Source organism: Homo sapiens, chromosome 1 (assembly GCF_000001405.40).
Source record: "Homo sapiens chromosome 1, GRCh38.p14 Primary Assembly".
NCBI classification, from domain to species: domain Eukaryota; kingdom Metazoa; phylum Chordata; class Mammalia; order Primates; family Hominidae; genus Homo; species Homo sapiens.
The window spans coordinates 163,343,521-163,368,411 of NC_000001.11; the positions used below are offsets into that span (position 1 = coordinate 163,343,521).

At 35.6% G+C, this 24,891-nt stretch overlaps 1 protein-coding gene across 5 annotated transcripts in view; it reads left to right on the forward strand.

The window, feature by feature from the left end:
- NUF2 (NUF2 component of NDC80 kinetochore complex) overlaps window positions 1-12,239 on the forward strand; it is a 33,806-nt gene extending 21,567 nt beyond the window's left edge. For all 5 annotated transcript variants that reach the window (XM_024450112.2, NM_145697.3, XM_024450113.2 and 2 more), the window contains 5 exons: window positions 213-350; window positions 2,158-2,298; window positions 4,243-4,418; window positions 5,425-5,560; window positions 11,815-12,239. In XM_024450112.2, coding sequence (XP_024305880.1) covers window positions 213-350; window positions 2,158-2,298; window positions 4,243-4,418; window positions 5,425-5,560; window positions 11,815-11,949 — 726 coding nt within the window. In that variant the 3' untranslated portion in view covers window positions 11,950-12,239. The remainder of the gene's footprint in view (window positions 1-212; window positions 351-2,157; window positions 2,299-4,242; window positions 4,419-5,424; window positions 5,561-11,814) is intronic.
- The last annotated feature ends 12,652 nt before the right edge of the window (window positions 12,240-24,891 follow it).

Sequence of the window (24,891 nt, forward strand, 5' to 3'; positions counted from 1 at the left end):
ATGTAATGAAAGGCTTTGAATGTCCTGCTAAGGAGCTTGATCTTTGGCCTATAGACAAATGTGAGCAATTAAGTAGGTAAGTGATGTGTTCAGAATTTAATTTTACCCTCATTACAGAGAACATGGACCTAATTTCTTTGTTCTTTCCCATTACTAGAATGGTAAATCACCAAGTTTATTATATCTAATATATAAAAATGTTTTCTCAACAGAATGAACTAAAATTGTCGGTGGTTTCTTTGAAAGAAATACAAGAGAGTTTGAAAACAAAAATTGTGGATTCTCCAGAGAAGTTAAAGAATTATAAAGAAAAAATGAAAGATACGGTCCAGAAGCTTAAAAATGCCAGAGTGAGTTTTCTTTTTATTTTAATGCTTTTGTATCTAAAAAAAAAAATTAGCAAATTCTTGTTTAATTATGTGTTAATTTTTGGATTTCTGAATTATCTATACTTCTCTTCCTCTTAAACTTTTTTGACCTTATTTCTAATCTGTAGCTTTTCTCTAGAGTGAATATGGGGAAAATAAATATAATTTCAAGACATTTGTTCAATTATGCAACAATTTTTCGAGGCTTTTCTCTGGGAGATCAAAACAGAAATGCTGGGTGGTGAGATTTAATTACTTTATTACAAGGGAGGAAAGTATTAAGTAATTTTACAAACAATTGTAATTATAAATTACAATATATACTATAACAAAGTATAAGGTATGCATGTGTGTAGGTAGGGGTATACGAGAAATCTCTGTACCTTCTGATTAATTTTGCTGTGAATGTCTAACTGCTTGAAAAATTAAAATCTATTAATGGTATCAGAAAGAGGAAAGAAAGTATAGAGTGCTTTGAAATAATGTAATAAGGGGAGCCCAGTTTAGTATTGGGCTGGAAGTACAGGTGGAAGAGGGAAGGAAGAATGCTACCATTCTTCAGATCGTAGCATAAAAAAAAAGACGCTTTTCATTTTAAACATAGCAGTACCAAGGCCCAATTCATTGTGTATGGAAGAATATTAAAGGCAGAGGGAACAGCGTATGTGAATTCTGTGGGGTAGTGGGGAGTAAGGTGTGTTCAAGATTATGGGTTACTGTGGGAGATGGATTGACGTGGTGCAATACAAACTTAGAAGTGGGTAGACAATTTACCATCTTTTGTGAAGCAATGTTTTTAAACTATTAATTTAAAAAACATATGTGGTTTGTGTTTGAATTTGTTATTCAGTTCATTCTTGACAATTAAGATTACCACACTAGACTAGACAAAGATCACCAGAACAGAAATGAGAACCCAGAAATAGATTTGAGTATTAATGAGAAAAGGATGATTTATTTAAGAAACAGTTCTGGCTCAATTAGCTATTCATCTGGAAGAAAAGGGTGTTGGGTCTACACTTTGCTCTTTTACAAAAATAAATTTTGTATGTATTGAAAATTTACCTTAAAAAATTTAAGTTTTACAGATTTTAGGAGAACACTTATATAATCTTGGACTGAGATAGATTTTTGAAATTAAGATTGGAAACAGAAAATCTATAGAGAAAAGTAGACACATTAGAACATAATTACGGTGCATATGACAGGTAGAGGGATTATATCCATGATTTGCAAAGAGTATTTTACAAATTAGTAAGAAAAAGAAAAAAATAAGGTAGAACAAGGGGTAGGCTAGTGAGGACAAGGGAAGGAATCTTTGTATTGTTACCATGGTTGTAGTAAATATATGTTCATTTTGTAATTTTAGAAGATGAGTTAATGTTTTTAAAAGAATTAGCTATAGTAGTCGTTATTATACAAATGAATGGGAAGATTATAAATGAGTAATACGATTGATTGCCCAGGAGTAATCAGAAATAGTTTGAGTATTAGCAAAATAAACTATTTTAATATCATCATTATTAACTTTTGGAAGGTATTTCATTGAGTAGTAAAATTATGGCACTTTTCCTTTGTTTGAAGATACTTGGCAATTAAAAAACAATTATTTGTGCTTAAACACATGTCAGTAATAGTGCTGTATTACTGACCTAGAAATTTAATTGTTCCGTGCTCTTAAGGTTTCAGTATTAAATGTGGAAATTATTTAAGAGCAAACAAATTGATATTACTGCAGCTTCATAAAGAAGAATATCAAACTGTGGTCTCTGTTTTTTGTCTTTCAAAGCAAGAAGTGGTGGAGAAATATGAAATCTATGGAGACTCAGTTGACTGCCTGCCTTCATGTCAGTTGGAAGTGCAGTTATATCAAAAGAAAATACAGGACCTTTCAGATAATAGGGAAAAATTAGCCAGTATCTTAAAGGAGGTTTGTATTGTATGGAATTTTGATGTCTTTATTATATAACAGCTTACTATAGTTCCTTGTATTTTGCTTTCACTTTTTGTTATGTTTTCCTAAAGAAAAACAGGGTCATTCTACAGTATAATAGATGTGGCAATGTATGCTATGAAAAAGACACTTTTCTTTTTAAACATAGCAGTAGCAAGACCCAATTTTTAACCTTCTGATGAAATTAATAATAACTAACCCATCACATTGCTGTGTATATTTTGGAAAATAGTACAGTAGCTCCCCCTTATCCTTAGGAGATTCATTTCAGGACCTCCAGGGGATGCCTGAAACTGTGGATAGTAACAAACCTTATATATATATATATGTTTTTTCCTTTATGTACATACCTATGATAAAGTTTAATTTAAAACTTAGGCACAGTAAGAGATTAACAATAATTACTAATAAAAGAACATTTATAGCAATATACTGTAATAAAAGTTATGTGAATGTGGTCTCTCTCTCAAAATATCTTATTGTACTAAAATCAATAAGTTTAGTACAATGATGTGAGATGATAAAATGCCTACATAAAAAATTGAAGTGAGATATTGCTAGGCTACTGTTAATCTTCTGACCATACATCAGAGTAAGGATCATCTGCTTCAGGTGATCCTAGATCCTCAAGGCACTATGATGTCGACAGTTGGATGTTGATGACTAAAGAGCAAGTGGTGTATACAGCATGAATCTGCTGGGCAAAGGGATGATTCACTTCCAGGGTCAGGGCTGGGCATGGTGGCTCAAGCCTGTAATACCAGCACTTCGGAAGGCTGAGGCGGGAGGACCATTGAGACCAAGAGTTGGAGACCAGCTTGAACAACATAGCAAGATGCTATCTCTACAGAAAATTTTAAAAATTAGCCAGCTATAATGGTGTATGTCTGTAGTCCCAGCCACTTGGGAGTCTGAGGTGGGAGGATCACTTGAGTCAAGACTGCAGTGAGCTATGATCATGCCGCCACACTTCCAGTCTGAGTGACAGAGTGAAGCCCCATCTGAAAAGCACACACACACACACAAACATCCAGGGTGGAATGGAGTAGGATGGCGCAAGATTTAATCACACTACTTAGAACAGCACACAATTTAAAACTGATGAATTTTTTATTTCTGATACTTTCCATTTAATATTTTTAGACCACAGTTGACCAGGGGTAACTGTAACCATGGAAAGTGAAGCCATGGATAAGGGGAACTACTGTCATGGGATTTTAAATTTGTTCTACCAGTTGGAAATGATCTTAGCATCAGAAAGTTCCAACTTAGTGCCCAACACTGTATCTAGGACCTATAGAGAGATTTAAAGTTTATTACATAGTCTGCCCTGAAGAAATGAGAGCTAAGGGCGGTTTCTCAGGCTACAAGCTTGAAAATCCTTTTTTGCTTCTTAACTTGATCATCTTCATCCAGGCTGCGCCTCCAGGATAACTAACATTACATTTGATAAACAATTTCTTTTTTGAGATAAGTAGGGATTAGAAGGTGAGATTGCCCCAGGTATTCTTTCCCAACTACATAGTCCCCTCATCTGCCATTGTGTTACCCAAAAAAGATGTGTATCTACTGCTTTGAATTGTTTCTAGCACCTACCCTTTTCCCTTTATTTGTACTACTTTAGTTCAGATCCTAACCCCTCAACTCTAGTCTCTTAGCTAATCTTAACATGTCTCCCTTTCAGTCTGTACTGATAGAAAACACCTCTCTAGTTGTCATGTCCTTTCTCAGTATCTCTGATGCCTCCTTGTTGTCTCTTCTGGTTCATCTGCATTTTTCTGCCGGACTTTCAGGTTTTAAAGAGTTTTGTCTCTTTTTAAATTTGTGTTTAATTATAGTTCATCCTAGAAAATATTCTTTCATTTTATTTCTAAATCCTAATTGGTTATGTTGACTTTAAATACTTCTTATAAAATACAGAGCCTGAACTTGGAGGACCAAATTGAGAGTGATGAGTCAGAACTGAAGAAATTGAAGACTGAAGAAAATTCGTTCAAAAGACTGATGATTGTGAAGAAGGAAAAACTTGCCACAGCACAATTCAAAATAAATAAGAAGCATGAAGATGTTAAGCAATACAAACGCACAGTAATTGAGTATGGAGTTGTTTTCAATTTTAGTGTATTAGAAAGCAATTATGAAAAACAAATACATTTTTCCCCCAGGATTTCAAAACCTCGGTATTTTCCAAAAGAGTTTAAACAGCTTTATCTTTATTTCACCTTTAGTTGACTAAAACAGATGAGTTAATTATAAAACTTATACTGCTAGTTCTAGATTTAGAGATGTCTTAGCTACTCTTTTCCTGGGTATACAGTTCCAATTCCTTTGCATCATTCTTCAGAAGGGTTCTGATGCTACTGATTATTTCATTGCACTTTAGAGATAGTGGTCTAGCTTGCATCAGAATTAACTAAATGGCCTATCTTATAGTCCAGCTTGTCTGTAGAGTTACAGCATTTGTGTTTTGAGAAAAAGTCATATATTCAGGTAAGAAGTAATACTTTCCTAAGTATGTAAGTATGTTTTTAGCTGGTACGTTAGGGTACTTTATTGGTAAAATACCCATCAGTTCTAAGAATGTGTTTTTAAAATACCTGCCCCAGATATGTCTATAATCTCATTCCTTCAGTTACTAAAAGGTGCGTCAGAGATCATCTGAGTATTTCCTTCATACTTCCTCTTGCAGATGAAAAAGGGCAGAACTTAAGGATTTTATGTTTGTTGCCAAACTGCCTTGTAGAAAAGTTAAACTGATTCACATTCCCACCAACAGTACCTAAGTGTGTACAACTGGGGAAATGTAACTTAAAAAATCTTCATTTTAAATATTGATTGATTGATTGATTTACTCATTCACTAACCCACCAATGAGGGAAAAAAAATCTCATTAATATATTGAGAGAAAGAGTTCACACTATGTTGTGATGTGATTATAGTACCACACTTTGGGGTTTTCATTCCTTTGCTTTTATATCTTGAGAAGAGTTTTAGGTTTGTCAAATACTGACACATGGTCACTTTGGAATCAAAACTAGAATTGTGTTTGCCTTTTTAGTTGCTGAAGAGGATTAAATATTAGCTGTCTCGATTTTCTTTCAGGGATTGCAATAAAGTTCAAGAAAAAAGAGGTGCTGTCTATGAACGAGTAACCACAATTAATCAAGAAATCCAAAAAATTAAACTTGGAATTCAACAACTAAAAGATGCTGCTGAAAGGGAGAAACTGAAGTCCCAGGTGAATATGTGTTCATAAGAAGTTAATTTCAAATAATCTCTCATGTATTTGAGTTGTTAACTGAAACAAAACAGCTTACTTGGTCTCTGTGTAATGAGACTTTTAATGATACCTAAAATTATTTACTCTTTATTCTTGTTTTGAATATATTTACTGTAAAGCTTCATAAATAGTCCTAAGTTTAATGAGAACAGGCATCTTGTCTCCTACATTTTTATCTTTAAAAATGCTAGTACAGTGCTAAACATAAAATGTTTACCTGTTTCTATTCTTTTAACTGCCAATGTCTCTAACAAGTAGTATATTCCTAATATATTTATTAAATATTTATTGTCTCCTTATCTTTTGAAGTTTGATTTATGTCTTCAAGAGTGTTCTACCAGAACAATAGTTCAAACTGCTCTGCCAGAAATCACAAAAAATTGCTATTTATTATGCAAAATCCCTTAGCCTCTTTTTTTTTCATTCTTCACCTTGTTTACATTGACAACTTAGATTGAGGTTTCTAAAACCGCTGATACCTGATAAATAGTTAAACATTTGCTGCCATTACTTTCCGTCATCCACACCCAATTTGTAAAAATTCTTAATACTAACAGAGCCACAGTAGACAATTCCCTTATCTGTTCTCAGTACCTTATCCCCCAGAAAGATTATGTTGTTAGCACTTGCACATGTGAGCATTATCTTAAGGCTACTTTAAAAGGAAGGAAAGGAAAGGTAGTGGAGTGAGGAAAGGAAGAGGGAAACTGGAAGGAAAAGAAATAAAATGGTTGGGATTTCACGTCCATGGTCTTCCCAATACCTGGCCTGCTCTTTTCTGTTTTTTGTTTTTTTTTTTCTATACCTCAACTACTTTTATTTTTCCTGCCTCTTAACTTGATATTCACCAAGAGTCAGTCTCTCTAGTATGGCAATTAGAAAGACTTAGCAGATATTGGCTGGGCGCGGTGGCTCATGCCTGTAATCCCAGCACTTTGGGAGGCCGAGGCGGGCGGATCACGAGGTCAGGAGATCGAGACCATCCTGGCTAACACCGTGAAACCCCGTCTCTACTAAAAATACAGAAAAATTAGCCAGGCGTGGTGGTGGGTGCCTGTAGTCCCAGCTACTCGGGAGGCTGAGGCAGGAGAATGGCGTGAACCCGGGAGGCAGAGCTTGCAGTGAGCTGAGATCGCACCACTGCACTCCAGCCTGGGCGACAGAGCAAGACTCCGTCTCAAAAAAAAAAAAAGAAAGACTTAGCAGATATTTAATCCTGCTTCTTAACCGAATCAAATCAATAAATATTTATGTGTTACTACATGGTCTAGGAACAGTTAGTGAACCAGTTACTAACAATTTAGTAACTAGTTACTAACTCAAATTCGAGGCACCTTTGTCTATCAGTCATAAGAGATACCCATGCCTACCTTATATTACTTTGAGTTTTATGCATATATGTCTTGCCAGTTACATTTTCCATTTCTTAACAGTAGCAATTGTCTATTGTTAACCTTAGCATATCATGTCAAACCATGCCTAGAATGGTGCCTTATGTGTAGTATGTTTTCCATAAATATTTATAAAATTGAAAGGTCATCTAGCATGGTGCTTCTTAAAACTAGCTGTGTATTCGAATTCAGTGAGGAATTTTAAGATGAACAAATCCTCACCCAAACACATTGATTAGCATCTCCAGCAATGGGGCCCATGAAATGTGTTTTTTAATGTGGCATTTGAGACCCACTAATAGGCTTGGCTTAATTGTGTTCAATGGTATAGAGTTTTCAATAGGTATGGCCACCCAAGCTGTTCTACTAGGGCAGCTTTAATTGTTAAAATTCTGTCTCTTATTTTGAGTTTAAAATATTTATTTCTGTACTCTATAGTCAGCCCAGATCTTCTCTGTGGAGCAAATGTGTACCCTTTTCTGCTTAATAACCCTTCAGACATTTGAGGATAATGATCACGGTTTCTTTCAGCCTTCTCATATTCAGGATAATTAGTCCTAGTTTTCCACCATTCTTTATATAGCTTCATTTTCAGATTTATTACTATCCTATTTACTGTCATCTCTGTTTCCTATTTGTCATTATTCTGCTTAAGATTTACAACCCAGTGCTAAACACAGTCTTCCAAAATAATGATGTGACCAGCCAGACCCAAAACACATTTTTAGTGAAGCATAATATTGGGGTAGATTTTTAGCAGCAGCATCTTGCCCTTGACTTATATTGACCTTGTGATCAGTTAAAGGACTCCTGTCTTTTCCACATAAAGTTCTGCCTTGTTAAGAGTTTTTCACCATACTTTAGCACAACTGTTACTTTTAATTCAGAATTTTACTTTTTTAGGTTTTATTTATTTCAACCTAGATTTCAAAATGTCAAGGTTAGTTTAAATCTATCATTCTGTCTTCCACCTTAACTATTTCTCATTGCTTAGTGTCACCTGCAGATTTGATCAGCATGCCTTTTTCTTCAAAATAAAAATGTTTACTAGAACAAGGTCCTTTGCTGCATTATAATTTTTTCATCCTAGAGGCGTAGAACTATTGATCAAAACTTTGGGTACAATTCTTCAACTTGCTAAGTTGTTCTTACCTACCTTGATTCAGGCTACGTTGTGATATCTATTTGTTACACAAATGGGAAGGTCTCTAAATACTTTGGTAAAATCAAATACTTTTTGTCAAAGAACTCTTCTTAGCTTACTTTATAATCATCCTTCATGAAAAGAAAAAAGGATATGATTGCCAAATTGTTCTTTGTGCAGTTCTGTTGCATTTTGTGATCATCATAGTCTTTTTTCATTAAATGTTCTTTCCCATAGATAATTTATCTCTTCTAGTTTCAATTATTATCTTCATTTGGATAGCTTTCAAAAATCTATGTTTCTTGTTCTGTCCACTCACAACAAAAATAATATTTTAAAATTACATTCAACATTTTCCCACATCTGACCTTTTCTTCACTTTCTTTCCCTTTTCTTTTTCTCTCTTTTGCTCAACTTCTTCATAAATTTCTTTGTATTTCTCAATTGCATCATCATTTTCTATCACAAAGCATTGAAATTTTGGACTTGCTTTAGATAATTCTGACATCCAGATAATCTCCAAGTTAATTTCATGATTGCTTTTACATGGTGGTACTCTTCATACATGTACATAGCCCTTCATACATACAGCGCTCTTATTATTATACGTCTGTCACATAATTTTGTAGTAGTCATGGATTGCAGCAACATTTGCTAAGTTTCTTTGATTTTAGATTCTTCTGCATCAAATATGCCTTGAATACTAAGTACTACCACATTTATCCTGCTAAAATATTATTCTCAATACTACACTTTCTTGTTTAAAACAAGGGCCATTTTCCTTCAGTTCATTCATTCACCCAGTCAGTATTTCAACAAATGGCCAATGTATCTGCTAGGTGTCAGGCTTCACACTTGATTCAGAGAGTAAGTTGTGAACAAGGCAGGAATGATTTCCACCTCTAGGACTTTCAAAATTTTCTGTCTGGCTGGGTGTGGTGGCTCACGCCTGTAATCCCAGCACTTTGGGAGGCCGAGGCAGGCGGATCACGAGGTCAGGAGATCGAGACCGTCCTGGCTAACACAGTGAAACCCCGTCTCTACTAAAAATACAAAAAATTAGCCGGGCGTGGTGGCGGGCGCCTGTAGTCCCAGCTACTCAGGAAGCTGAGGCTGGAGAATGTCGTGAACCCGGGAGGCGGAGCTTGCAGCGAGCTGAGATTGCACCACTGCACTCCAGCCTGGGCGACAGAGCGAGACTCCGTCTCAAAAAAAAAAAAAATATTCTATCTAAGCTAATCATTTCCATTATTTAAGGTCCAGTAGAAACTATGTCTTCCACATAACTTTCTTTTACTTCTTTGAAGTATCTTTCTGTTCTCTCTCAAATACTATAGCACTCTCAGTCTATTCCAAATAATCTGGATGTGTGCTGTCCAGTGGGGAGCTATTAGTAATATGTGGCTATTTACATTTAAATTAATTACAGTGAAATAAAATAAAAAATTTTGTTCTTTATTTGCACTAGCTATATTTCAGGTGCTCGATATCCAAACTGGTCTGGTTATATGTTCATTTAGGAAAGAAACCATAATTGGTGTCTTTCATTGTACTATTGTACTATTTACAGTGCTACTTATACAAAGTACCCAATAATATATTGGTTGACTAATTTATACGTATGTGATAAATGGCTACACTGGCTGTAAGACTCCATGGATAGTGTATAGTCTTAAATATTTCTGATTTGAAAAGTGAGATAGTTATCTAGACTGACACTGTCCAACAGAACTTTCTGCTGTAATGAGAATGTTCTTCTGTATTGCTGAATACTGTAGCCAGTAGGCACATGTGGCTATTGAGTCCTTGATGTGTGGCTGGTGCAACTGAGGGACTGAATTTTTAATTTCATTTGATTAAATTAAATTTTATTAAATTTAAATAGTAGCCACATGTGTCTAGTGGTTGCTGTATTCGACAGTACAGAACTAGCCTTTGACTTTAAAAATATTTAACTTCAACGAGGCCATCACAGTAAAACTTATTATATGTGAATTAGGGTGGATTAATATAGTAAAATTCCACTTGGATGTAGAATTTAATCGAAAATGCTAAAATACATAGTATTTGTCAGGGATACGATCTGTCACCATTAAACATCTTGTGAGGGTTGGCTTAGAACTTCAAATGTTTTTGTCTCTGTGCCTGTGCCACTGGAATTGGGCCTTAATGTTTCATTCACTTGTGGCTCTACTAGCAGGATTTTGCTCCTCCTTGAGAGTGTTACTTGTTCTCGGAAGGAAAGTATTCCTTTGGGTATTTTGAAATGGTTGGTTCAGATACATACAGATTGTATATCTTAATTTAGTCACACTTAGTTCTGATAGTTTCTCATAAGGAATATCTTCCTACCAAATTTATTCAGCTTTCTTTTTTGGAATGAATAAACATATACCCCTATAGAGCTAGAAAGTTAAATTGATTTATAGCTGCTGAATGTGCTGTTTTTTTATAATGGCGTTCACACAAGCTAGCAACTAATTCACCTTATTTTTCCTACAAGATTTAAGAAATAAAGCCTTCAAAAATTTTGATTTATTTTCCTATTGGTTCATATTCTATCATAGTTGTAGTAATTTGATACCTGCTTAGATCTCAGAAATCTAAACACACTCTTCTATTTTTGTGTTAGGATTTAATAACTATGTTTGGATTTTTGGAGAATGTTTAGTCTTAAGCATATATTTACATTCACTTAATCTGTAGTAATAGTTCTCAAACTTGCATAGGTGGCAGAGTTGCTGGAAATAGGGTTCTTTTTCGGAATACTGTGAATTTATACTATATCAAATTATAATCTATGTAATTTATTCAAAATCAGATCGTATCTCTGCTAGAATTTAAACTAAGGTAAGTAGTAGCCAAAATTTTAGGCTTAAGAAAAATTTAGTGGGAGAGACACTTAAAATTGAGAACATTGTATTCATTTACTGCTTTTCTTCCCCCACTGGAAAAAGATGACTGTTTTATTTCAGTGGCAAAACACATCCTGTAACCTTGTAAAATACCAGTTTCTTGTGGTATTATGTATATTATAGTTTAAGAATTGTTTTGTCTAAAAGAAGTAAATAATGGAAGGAGGATCAATATTATATTTGACAAGTATGAAATAGAAGAAAATGTGTACACGCTAATTTTTTTCTTATTTAATCTATAAAAATTGTTGTTTTATTTTTTAAAATTCTTAGCACATCCATATAGGCTTGAACTATCTGATCAGTTTATTCAAACAACTCTACAAGGTATTAATATATTCTTCAGTCCTATAGATTACTTATTAAATGTTTGCATACCTTTTAAATGATAATCAGGGTCAAATGCAGAGAGTATAGTTATCCACAGTAATGTAGTTATTTTCCATGTTTAACATGGAAAGCTCTAAAGTAAAATTTTTCCTTGATAATTATAAATATGTTTGTTCTTATTGTATTAGAATCCTAACCATTGTCTCATGTCGCTCCTTTGTTCCTTAAGTAGCAAACTTTTTGATGTGTTTGTACAACTTACAGAATGAATTTTTAATTAAAGCAGACATAGACATGCACATTTGTGTGTGTGCATAAGAATTTAGGCTTTAAAATATTAATAAATATGAATAAACTTGGAATTCTTATAACTCATTTGTAGTTTAGGTTGTTGCATGGAATAATTATTATTCTGTTTCATTTTCTACTTAGGAAATATTTCTAAACTTGAAAACTGCTTTGGAGAAATACCACGACGGTATTGAAAAGGCAGCAGAGGACTCCTATGCTAAGATAGATGAGAAGACAGCTGAACTGAAGAGGAAGATGTTCAAAATGTCAACCTGATTAACAAAATTACATGTCTTTTTGTAAATGGCTTGCCATCTTTTAATTTTCTATTTAGAAAGAAAAGTTGAAGCGAATGGAAGTATCAGAAGTACCAAATAATGTTGGCTTCATCAGTTTTTATACACTCTCATAAGTAGTTAATAAGATGAATTTAATGTAGGCTTTTATTAATTTATAATTAAAATAACTTGTGCAGCTATTCATGTCTCTACTCTGCCCCTTGTTGTAAATAGTTTGAGTAAAACAAAACTAGTTACCTTTGAAATATATATATTTTTTTCTGTTACTATCATGGCTGTTGTTTTGTTTATTGACATAGAGTTGTGGCATTATTGAGTCCGGACTGTGCCCTCAGCATTGTGGTTGAGATCTCATTTGATCCTTACTTAAGCAATTCTAGGTAGATATTTTTATTACTACATAGATAAAGTAATTATAAAGGTCCTAAAAGATCAGATAGCTGAAGCAAAATTTGAACTGTACTGTCTATGATACTGAAGTCTACAATGTTTCAGTGTACCACAGTTTTCAATGTAGTTAATTGAAAGAGAAAGTTTGAGTTTAGTAGTCGATTTCTTCATTGATGCAACTGGCATTTTTTTTCAAGAAAAATGAGTTAATATGTATAAAGTGACTAAAACAGTGCCTGGCACATGGTAAACACTCCATAACTCTATTAGTATTTAAGGTCATGGAAGCTCCAGGTACTTTCCTCTTTGTCAGAGATAATAAAATGTTATTTTAGGGAGTGACCAGGCTTTCAATGAAAGGCAAAGCCCTGGAATGGAAGGAGCAGCAAAAGCTGGGTGTGCAGGGAAGAACAGATGAGGATACACAAATTGCGCTATTGCCTTGTCCCTTCCTAGCTTCTCTTTAAATATTCATGAGTTTTCATTCAGAGAAAAGGCTGCCTCTAAGGCAAGGTAACAGGTATAAACATCACCAAATCTCTCTCATATTTTAAAAAGTTTGACCCCTTGGACCTATCTCCACCTTTACTGCACTTTTTTTCACAACCAGATTTCTAGAAAACCTAATCAATACTTGTGAATTAGTTTCATTCCTTGTTCATCACAGAATTGTTATTTCTATCCATACTAATCTTCTGAACTTTCTAAGGTCACCAAAAAATTCCTAGTTACCAAAATTTCATGCATACTTTTTAATCTTTCCTCAAATTCTACCTATCCAGTGCTTTTTTCATTTTGTCTCAGTAACACCACTCTGTTGGTTCTCCTAATTCCCTGTCTTCTTGTTAATTTTTCCACCCTAGAGCCTCATTCTGTTTTCACCTCTTGTGTTTTTGTTCTCTGTGCTTCCACCCTTGCCTCTTCTTACCGTAAACTCTATATTTCTCCTTGAAAACTTTTATCTACACCCACAGCTTCCAGCACAAGTTAAACACCTGTAAAACTTAACTACATTTATGTTTTTTTAATTAGATTTATCATATCCCCTGATTTTCAGACTTGCATATCCATTGGCCAGTAGGTGTATTTAACTTATTGGCATTCTGATGAAGCCTAATAATGGACCCTTTCAGAATAATGGGTTTAATACATGATATAAAATAGAGGATAAAAAGGGAAACCAATTAGATTCAAATATGATTATCAAATATTTAAAAACATTATGGTTACTAGTATCACTAACTACACTTGTGCCGTGTTGGAAAAAGGACTCAACCACTTTCTTATGCTACTATACCTCACTCCCTTATATCCATTTAGTTAGCAAGAACTACAGATTAATGTACCCAAATCTCCCTCTCACATCTCCTTTGCTTATGTTGCAATTTGCATCCTCATCATTACTGTACTTGCAATAATCTTACCAGGCTCCCAGTCTCTAACCCACTTCTATAAAGGCATTCGAGTATTCCATCAAGCAAATTAGATAGTGTCTGTGATCTGTGCAGTTTTTTAGCTTTTCAAACTGTCCTGCCAGGGTGTATTAGCGAACTCACAGGGGAATCATGCAATGTTTTAAATTTCCAAAGGAAACAACAATATTTGATATTTGTGGGACACCGTCACAAACTACTAGTTCAAGGTCATTCAGAATTCCAATGTTAAAGCATACTACATTCCTTTCAATGACATCATATCTTTGTGGAGCTGGGTTTGGCATTTGCTGAGATAAGCAAGTATCACATGAAAATCATAGAATAGGAAATGAAGATGACAATGTTCAATCTGATTCCAAGGTTTGAGTAGTTGTACAGTGCCCAATAGGCACAGATACCCAATTAGTAACTGGTTAAGAGTAAAATAAAGTAATAAAAATATTCTTTCAGTTTGTGTTTTATTTTAAAACATTCATTGTTAGGACATAAATGCTTATTATGTTTTCTGGACCTAACTACTTAATAAACAGAACATTAAATATTTTTCTTGGGACCATTCCCTTATAGGATAAAGTAAACCTGCAGGAATTTCAAAACCCTTCATAATCTAGACTTTCTCACCTTCTAGACTTTCTCACCTTTTCTCTTGCCACTTCTCACTTGAACTTTGTCCTTGAGCAATACTGAGCTATTTGGCATTCATAGCACTTCACACTTAATGTGTTTACACGTGTTTTTTTCCCCCCATAGTTTATAATGTCTTTCCTTTGTTCAACTGGAAAATACTCATTTTTCAAGTCTAAGACTTGTGTGTGTGTGTGTGAGAGAGAGACAGGGTCTTGCTCTGTCGCCCAGGCTGGAGTGCAGTGGGACAATCTCGGCTCACTGCAACCTCTGCCTCCCAGGTTCAAGTGATTCTCGTGCCTCAGCCTCCCGAGTAGCTGGGACTGCAGGTGCGTGCCACCACACCCAGCTTATTTTTTTATTTTTTTTGTAGAGACAGGGTTTTGCCATGTTGGCTAGGCTGGGCTCGAACTCCTAACCTCAAGTGATTCGCCCGCCTCGGCCTCCCAAGGTTCTCGGATTGCAGGCATGAGCCACCGCTCCTAGCGAAATCTAATGCTTTTTTAACTGTCAGCTTTTCCTTTTTTCTTTTATTTTTACTGTAATTTGTATCATTATATTGTATTTTTTTTTTACACATGTTACACCTTGCTGGACTTAAGGTTTTTCAAGCCCAGTAACTAATCTGTTTTAGTATTTCTACTCTAGCATGGAACCAAGCACCTGGTAGTCACTTAAATGTTTACTTAAGGAATAGCCATCACTCTCCTATGACCAAAGCATATAACCTTGAGGCCAGGTTTATCCCAGCAAGAAATGTTATCTTTTATGCATTTTTTATGCCAAATAACATATGTTTCAGCAGTTTGATATTTTCACTTTCTATTTTTGCCCCCAAAGAGGTAAAAAGCCTTATTTAAGAGGCCTTCAGTATAATCCACATTTGGCTGTTTTGACTAAAGAATAACTGAGTAAATTTAGGATTTTCCCCAGCGCCTTCTTGAAAATGACTACTTGGATCATGTACTCTTTTAAAGTTTATTAATATGGGGAAATTAATACTCTGCAGAAGCAAATGGCCTCATGGTATGTGGCATGTGGTGAAGCCTGACCTTAAAGGAAATACTGTGCAGACACAGACTTTAGTTATCACTTATGAGTTCAGGTACTTAGCTATATGTAGAGAAAATATTTAATTTCAAGTTCAACTGACATATTTCAAGGAACTAATCCATTTTATGACAAAGCAAGGGAAATTGAAATATGCACCTTGCAGGCTGAAGTTAATACATCTGATTTTAGTTTAACGGGATGTTTCCTATTTTTAGTAAGACCAGAAAAGTTTTATATGAAATTCCATTTCAAATTCTGGGCCTGCCACTTATATCAATTAAGTTGGCACTCTCCCTTTGATTGAAATATGCTTCTCATCTTCCTATCCATATTGCCACCAGGGGGCATAACATAACTTGCATAACCAATGCTAAAATAGCTGTGGATTTTAAGGTTTGAAACTTAAAAGCTGAAAATTTTTAAATAATAGTAACAACTCAAAAAAAAGAAAAGTGTCAGAATTTAGAGATAATCTGTTTAAAGTTGAAATAGGTTCTAAATAATATCATAAGATTATTTCAAAATTTTGCTAAAAGGATGACTCATCTCAAGTCTCCAATTCTGACCTTATGTACATTATCTTTTAAAAATTGTTTGTTGGCCAGGTGCGGTGGCTCACGCCTGTAATCCCAACACTTTGGGAAGCCGAGGCGGGTGGATCACGAGGTCAGGAGATCGAGACCATCCTGACTAACATGGTGAAATCCCACCTCTACTAAAAATACAAAAAATTAGCAGGGCATGGTGGCACGCACCTGTAGTATACATGTATATGTATACACATATATATATATATATACACACACATATATATACATATATATACACATATATAAGTAATCTTTAAAAGATGTATATATATACTGTCTAAGTCATCCTCTTAGTAATTGGTTCAGGATTTCTAGTTCAGATTCCATGCAACTCTTAAAATTGAATTTTTCTGAGACAAGAATTTGAGATTTCATAAAACAAGCAAGTCTTTTAGGAAATGAACCTAGAATATCACCTAGGATTCTCAGTGTAACATTCTTTTCTTCTGGTAATCTTATAAAGTAAGTTCCTACCACCACCAACCTCTAATTCATTCTTACTGCCATGACATAGAACTTTCTAAAATACAAACTTGATCGTCTCTCCCCACTGCTCTACAAATCTTTGATGCTAACCCATAATACTTTAAAGGGCAATATTTTGATGGAGACCATATAGTGTGGTATGGCAGTTCTCAAAGTGTGTAAAATTTTCCTGGGAAACTTGTTAAATATGCCACACCCCCCAGAGATTTGATTTGGTGGGTTTCTGGGGTTCTACACATGAAACAAGCATACTAAATGATTCCAATGACAATAATCCTAGGCGATTATTTTAAGAACTGCTGTGTGACTAGGAACATACACTAGAATAAGTCCTCACACTACTTCTAGTATAACAAATACAGGAATAACAAATACAGTTGAGGGCTGAACAATGTGAGAGATAAGGGCACCAACCCTCCTTACAGTGGAAAATCCATGTGTAACACTTGACTCTCCCGAAAATTACTAAAAGCCTACTATTGACTGACCAATAACCTAAACAGTCAATTAACACATATTTTGTATATTTATCATATAGTATATTCTTACAATAAAACTAGAGAACTGAAAATGTTAAAAAATCTTAAGGAAGAGAAAATACATTTATTATTTATTAAGTGGAATTGGATCATCACAAAGGTCTTCATCCTCATCTTCATGTTGAGCAGGCTGAGGAAGAGGAGGAAGAGGAGGAGTTGGTATGGCTGTCTCAGGGGAGGCAGAGGCAGAAGAGGTGGATGGGGTGAAAAGGGAGGCAGGCAATCTTGGTGTAACTTTTATTGAAAGAGATCCATGTATAAATGGTCCTGTGAAGTTTGGCCCCATGTTGTTCAATGGTCAAGTGTGTATCTCAAGCATGAAAACACTGAGTGAATTCTGGAGAACAATTAGCAAAGTGCCTGCCACACATCAAACACTCAAATGGTAGCTGATGCTGTTAAAGGCAGATATATCTGTTAGACTGCTCTGGGGCCAATTTGATATGTTTTATATCTTCTGCACTACTTCTGTCATAATTCTTTATACCTACTTAGCAGTGAAGAAATATTTGCTGAATTAAAGAATATATCTGCATATCCAAAATGGGCACAAGACCCTAAAGCAAGGAGTTTTCAGGAAAAGAAGTCAGCCTTGTATTTTTAGTGCAAAGAACAAGGATCATGACAGTTTTATCCTACCAGGGGAAAAAAGAATCAGGTATGCTCATTTTTAAAAGTTGCAAATTTCGCTTGGCTCCACTGGGTGTCACTGCTAACTCGTCTTTCCTGTTTGAGCATAGGTGTAAGGATTGCAGGACATTAGAAGGGGGATTTTCAAACCTCAGTATTTATCAGAATCACCTGGAGGACTAAAATGGATTATTGCCCCAGAGATTCTGATTCTGTAGGTCTAGGGTGGGGCTCTATAATTTGCATTTCAATCAAGTTCCCAGGTGAAGCTGATGTTGTTGGTTCAGGGATCAACATTTAGAGAAGCACTGCATTAGAGAAATCTAACCATAACTGGGGTCAGGTTCTTCACAGGTCTTCTATAGCAATGCTTCTTGCATTTTGACATGCTTACAAGTCACCTGGAAATCCTGTTAAAATAAAGAGTCTGATTCAGTAAGTTGGGGTGGAGCCTGCGATCCTGCATTTCTAAAAATCTCATAGGTGGCGCTGAGGCTGCTGGACCACAAACCACACTTTGAATAGCCTTCCTGCTTCTCGTCATTGATTCTACCTTCACATCACCAAGTTCTCTACCCTTCAAGACTGAGGTGATGAGAGATATAAAATGCTTGGCACAGCACCCAGTGCATGGTCAAGCACATTATATGTGTTAGCAATTATTATGTGGAGGTATTTAGTACAATTGTTCAGAATGTGGAGTTTTGAGAGACAGACATTTGAATTCCATGTTTGCAACTTACCAGCTTTGTAAACTGGGGCATGAAACAGAATGGCATTGAGGCTTAGGCTCCTTATTTTCAAATTGAGGAGTTTAGTAGTCTTTATTTCACAAGACTGTTGTAAGGATTAAATCAGATAATAAATGTAAACTACTTGGCACGCTTTGGAAATGGCTATTATTGCTAGTAAAACAGAAGATATAAAGTGACAAAAATGGCTGCAACAGGTGTTATGTGAGCTTTTACTGTTTGAAAGAGATAGACTCTACCCAGAAGAAAAAAATCACATGGCACCCATTAGAATACTAATGTTCATTTATTGCTAACAGTTGTATCACCCGTCAAAGGAGAAAGGACTCAGAAAGTACTGAGAAATTTACAGCCATCATTTAAAACTAGATTTGTAGAAAAAAAAGAGTTACAGAAACAATATCTTTTCAAAAGTTTTTAGAAAGAAATTGCATTTTACCAGGGAGGGCAAATGTATTCTTATATAATCAGGACAACTTTATATCTGTGCTCTTTCAAGCCAGAGATTATAATTCATTTTGTACCTACAGAACTTAGCATATAATAGAATCAAAATAATATGTGCTGAACAAATGCATGAAGAAACCCTACCATATTCAAAGAAATAATAGGCTGTCTTTCATTAGTTTATCCCTTTAACTTACTCTGTTTTTCTTAGATGAGTTCCTTTTGTCCTCTTACTATCCCAGTTTTAGCACTAAACAACCCACATTTAAGGAAACCCCTCAGTTCAGGGCAAACCAGGATGGTTGATCTCTCTGGACATGTGCTCTACATGAAGCTCCTATTTGGCCCAACCCTCCTCTTATACCCATGGTTAGGCTTCTTTTACTTTCACGGTATTTACGGCTGGTCTTCTTCCCTCAATAACTCAATAGATATTTACTAAGAGTGCACTACACACAGGCCCAATCCGAGTGGGTTGGAAGAAGTCAAGGTGAAGAAGAAACTCCTGCTCTCAAGAAGTATCCATGGACAATGTCAACTCTTAATGACTCTCTCTTCAACCAGGTGTTATTAGTCTTTCTTTTGGCCAAAATCCCTGTATCTATTGCTATGTAACAAATTACTCCAACTCTTAGCAACTTAAAATAAAAAGTGTTTATTATCTCACACAATTTCTGAGGGTCAATGAATATAGGAGTAGCTCGGCTGGCTGGTCCTGGCTTAGGGACTTTCTTGAGGTTGCAGTTAATCTGGCCTCCAGGGCTGCAGTCATCTGAAGTGTTGATTAGGGATAGAAGATCTGCTTCCAAGATGGCTCAATCCAATGACTTTTGGCAAGGGCCTCAGTTCCTGCTGCCTCTTATCAGGAGCCTCATTTCCTTACCACACAGGCTTCATACAGCTGTTCGATATGGTAGCTGGCTTCCCCAATCATCAGCTAAAGCAAATGATTGCAGATAGAGATAGGAGAGAGAGAGAGAGAGAGAGAGAGAGAGAAAATGAGAGAGTGCAACCAAGATGGAAGCCACAATGTCTTTTATAACCTTATCTTGGAAATGACATACCATCACTTCTTCCATGTTCTACTCTTCACATAGACCAACTATGGTACAATGTGTATGTTTTGGGGAACTTCATAAAAGCATATATACCAAGAGGCAGTGCTCTTTGGCAGCCATCTTGTGGAGTTGGCTACCACACTCCCCAATCCCTGTACTAGAGACTGGGACTTCTATACCCTTACCACCAGCATGTAGACAACGTTTTAAGGTAATATAAAATTAGGGAATTATTCCTTTGATTGGTCTGCTCACACTGCTGAATATATGTTCTCAACACACGAGTGCATCTCTTACAACATACCTTTTTCTTGACTGGAACGTTATACTTGCCTAATGTGATCACAGCACGACTTAGTAGATGAGGCACTCATTATCTCCTGTGAAACAGATGGGAAACTTTGGCTCAAAGAGGTTCTTAGTGGCAACCAGTTGATTCACTTGCCCAGAAACCTAAAACGGCTGCCAATGTCGTCATTAGTTCAAGTCTGAACTACTTAGTTGGCATTCAAGTCCTCTTTAAACTGGGCCTATATTTTTTTCATCAGATGTTTCCTCATTGACTTCAACATACATTAGAACAATATCATGAGTTGCTTGCTTCCAAATAGGATCTGACCTTCTTCCAACTTTTAATAAAAGAAATCAGACATTTATTAGCCACATTTCCAGAATTCAGGGACCCATATTCTAAACTCTACAAGCCAGGTGCAATTCCCAAGATTTAATCTGAAAATTTTGGGAAGCCCAGTTTAGCTCTTTTACTCAGACTCCTATGTAAGAAAGACAAATATGAATCTTTCTCACTCTCATTTCTATTGTAGCAGTCTGAGATTTACCACCAGCTTCCTTGCACTATGTATGTCTTTGTTCATTGCAATTTTTCTTTGAGGGCTCAAGACCAGCCTATTTTACACTAGTTCCAATGATTTGACAGGTATAAACTATGTCCAAAAGAGTTAACTTTCCTCCCAAAAGTGACTGCAGAATAAGCTAGGCCTTCCAAGTCAGCCCTGCTTCCATCAACCCGAGGAGGCATGTTGCCTGAAAGTCTTCATAATAGGTGATTGGCAAGTAAGGTTAGGTATCATTGCTGCAGTGAAAGAGGGTTAGGAATTAAGGTCCAGACCTTTAACTGCCCATTGTGAAGTTTTCCCTAACTCTTCTAGCTAAAATTATTCCTCATTTTCTATTTTCCCTGAGGTCCCCATCCTTTTTTTTTTTTTCCTGGTTAACAGGAAATTTCTAAGAAATGATAGACATCTGACACGCGGTCTCAATCCAGAAATTCAGATACAACAGAAGTGAAGTCTACACATTAATTGATACTCTACCAAGCCACAGTAACCAGCACTGTTTTCAATGGAATAAAAGCTCTATTATGTACTTCATCTGTCATTAGCTAGTCAAATATTCCTATTCTGGAAGTAAATCTTCAGAATGTCAAAGGGACTGTTTAGTTTTGAATTTAAAAAAAATTGATTGAAACATTTAATAATCAAAATCTTTACATAATGATTGGATTTGAAAACATTTCTGTTTTCTTTTAAGATAGGTATATTTCAGAATTATACAAGACTACCACATTGTGAATAATAATTAACATCTGTGTGCTATTACCTCACTTAAAGAAGTAAACATTAGCAATGCAATCGAAGCCCTTTCTACAGCCCTCCACAATTACAAGCCCCTTCACTGCTCTCAGGTAACCAGTATCCTGAAATATAAATTCATTATTCCCACGAATTTTTTTAGAATTTTACTGACTCTATGAAGTAACTCTACCCATATATAGCATCGTTTGCATGTTTTAAACTTTGAATGGTTTGCTTTGTATATTCTCCAACTTGCTGTTTTTGCTCAACAGGAGCGAGTTAAGAATGAGGACTTTGTTTTGTTCACTGCTATATCCAGAGAACCTAGAAAAGTGCCTGACATATAGGAGGAACTCAAATATTTCTTGAATAAATAAGCATTATATTTGTGACCAATTTTCCTACTTATATATGCAGCTCCTCCTGTCTCATTTTTACTTCTGAATGGTATTTCAGTGCATGGCTATGCTACATACTCCTCTTGAAAGATGTTTAGGTTGATTTTATCTTTCTTTTTTTTCTTGCTATTATAAACATGCTGTGCACTATGAAAATTTGTTTAAAATTTTTTTTTGTACATACATGGTAAAGTTTCTCTGAGATATATGCCGAAGAGTAGAATTATGGAGTCTCCAAAGTGGTTTGCCAAATTTTACATTAGCAGCACCAGCAGCATTTGTGTGTACCAGTTACTTCCTATCTTTGTCATCACTGGGATAATGAGACTTCTTAATGTTTGCCAATGTGATGGATGTGAAATTATATTGCTCTGCAGGTTTCCTTTTTGTTTGTCTGTTTACTAGTGAGGATAAACATCTTTTTATATGTTTATTGGCCATTTACATTTCTTCATTGGTGAATTACCTGTTTATTTATTTATTTATTTGGCCATTTTTCTACTGGGTTACTTATTTCTTTCCTTACTGCTTTCAAGGATATATATATTTTAATTCTGGATACTATCCTTTGTCAGTTGCATGCTTTGCAAATGTCTTCTATTTGTGGTTTGTCTTTTTTCTTTCTTCTCCCACAGCACTTAAAAAAAAACTTTCATCATAGTACTTATTCCACTGAATATTAACTTTTTAATGCACTAAAACCATTACATCATTAAAAAGTTTAGTCTTCTAGACTGTGAGGTTCTGGAAGGCAAACTATGTGTTATTCATGATTGAGGGCCTAGCACCATGCCTTGTACATATTGGGGCCCACTTAATGCTTTTTTATTTTATTTTTCTTTTTTGAGACAAGGTCTTGCTCTGTCACTCAGGCTGGAGTGCAATGGACAATCACAGCTCACTTCAGCCTGGACCTCTTGGGCTCGAGCAATCCTGCCGCAGCCTCCTGAGCAGCTGGGACTATAGGCAGGTGCAACCACATCCACCTATTTTTTTTTCTTTGTAGAGACAGTGTCTCACTATGTTGCCCAGGCTGGTCCTGAATTCTTGCACTCAAGCGATCCTCTTGCCTCAGCCTCTCAAAGTGCCGGGATTACAGGCGTGAGCCGCTGTGCCTTGCTGATTTTGATTTTTGAAATAGATAGGGTTTTTTTCCTCAGACAAAGCAAAAAGCAGTTGCTAGGGGCTAGGGCAGGGGTTTGCAAAGCACAGCCCATGTGTCAAAACAGCCCACTACCTACTTTGTAAATAAAGTTTTATTGAAACGCAGCTATCATCATTTGCTTACATTTTGTCTGTGGCTGCTATCCTGCTATAACAGCAGAGTTCAGTAGCTATAACAGAAACCATATGGACCACAAATCCAAATATATTTGCTATCTGGCCCTTTACAAAGGAAGGTTGCCATTTCTGGACTAGTAAGTAAAGGTGAATGCACACAGAAGCATGCTACTATTTTCAATTTTGAAAAGAAAAGTATACCTGATCTCTTCACATTGTCTTAACATCTACCAGCCTGCTTATTGTGCAGCTCCTTACCTCATCCTATCTTAAAAAGAATGAGTAACAACATATATAGAATATTTGAAAATAACCTAAATTAATTTAGGCCCTAAATAATGCTGTCAGTCCCCAAATAATGTCATCATTCTATCTTGAATTCACGAATACAGAAATGAATCTTATTTCATAAGAATGTCTACCAAAAACTGACTCCTGGATCATCAATTATTTAAGGACAGAAGGAGTGTGTCTGAATTTTTTTGTAACCCCGACTCCCACCCAACCTTATTCAGTGTTCTGCTCACTGAGGTCACTCTATAAATGTTGCTTTGTGACTGCTGATATTGTAATGCATTATTTACCTGCTTGCATTTTGTAAAAAATAATTGGGACAGACAGAGAGGGACTAGGACACGGGTAGAGAGGCATAGAGAAGGCAGAGACAGAGGGAAGCAATGAGGAAAGATGACCCTAAAAGCATTTGCTAATTTACAACTTCTGGAGCTGCTGAAACTGCTTTCAAATTTTGCAGCCTTTGACATTTTTGCAATTTTTCCATGTTCCTGCTGCTGTTCCAGTACCACAGATAAGAAACCCTCAACTCTTGCTCTGTTCTGGAATAATGAGATTGGAAAAAAAAGATCTTTTTCATCTTTTCAACATTAAAAAGAAAAAAAACTAGTCAAAGCCCAGCAGTTCAACAAATATTACTCATGTCATTGGCAAGAAGAAAAGGAGACTTTTGAATTAAAAAAAAAAAAGGAAAAGACGAACACAGGAGGCATTGTTTGCATATCAGAAAAATTAATCTACATAGGAAAGTGTAAGAGCCTGCAATTCAGAAAGCAAAGAATTAGGACAGCCCAGCTGAGAATAATTTTCTAGCCAGTTAATTTAATTGCATAAATCATTCCTTTGTTAGCAATAAAGAGATATAATTAAAATGAGATTGCCTCTAGTTTCTATTCTCTAGAAACTAAAGGAATTGATTTTGGGCAAAGCATTCTTCCAAATACCAGATCGGCAAATTACATTTACCTTTTTAGAAAAGCTAAATTATTTTGCCGTAATATCATGGTGGGTTTAATTAATTATAGATCTGCCATACGATCTTAAAGAAATAATTTATTTAATGTCCTTAGAACAGAAGTTTGCAATCATGTGTGTATCCCTTTGGTAGATGGTGTGCAGATTTTTACTAACAGGTCAGAAGTTTAACAGGCAGCTGTCAGGAGAAATTTGAGGCAGTATAACGATTGTTTGGGGTTTTGGTTCGCTGTCCTTGTTTAAAATAAAAAACGCCACTACTTAGTATTGCATAATTTAACTGAACTCATTTAGATTGGCTTTATTCTAAAATTACTACTGGTAATTATTTGCTGTCTTTGAACCTTTGGGATTTAAAGAGCCTATAATTG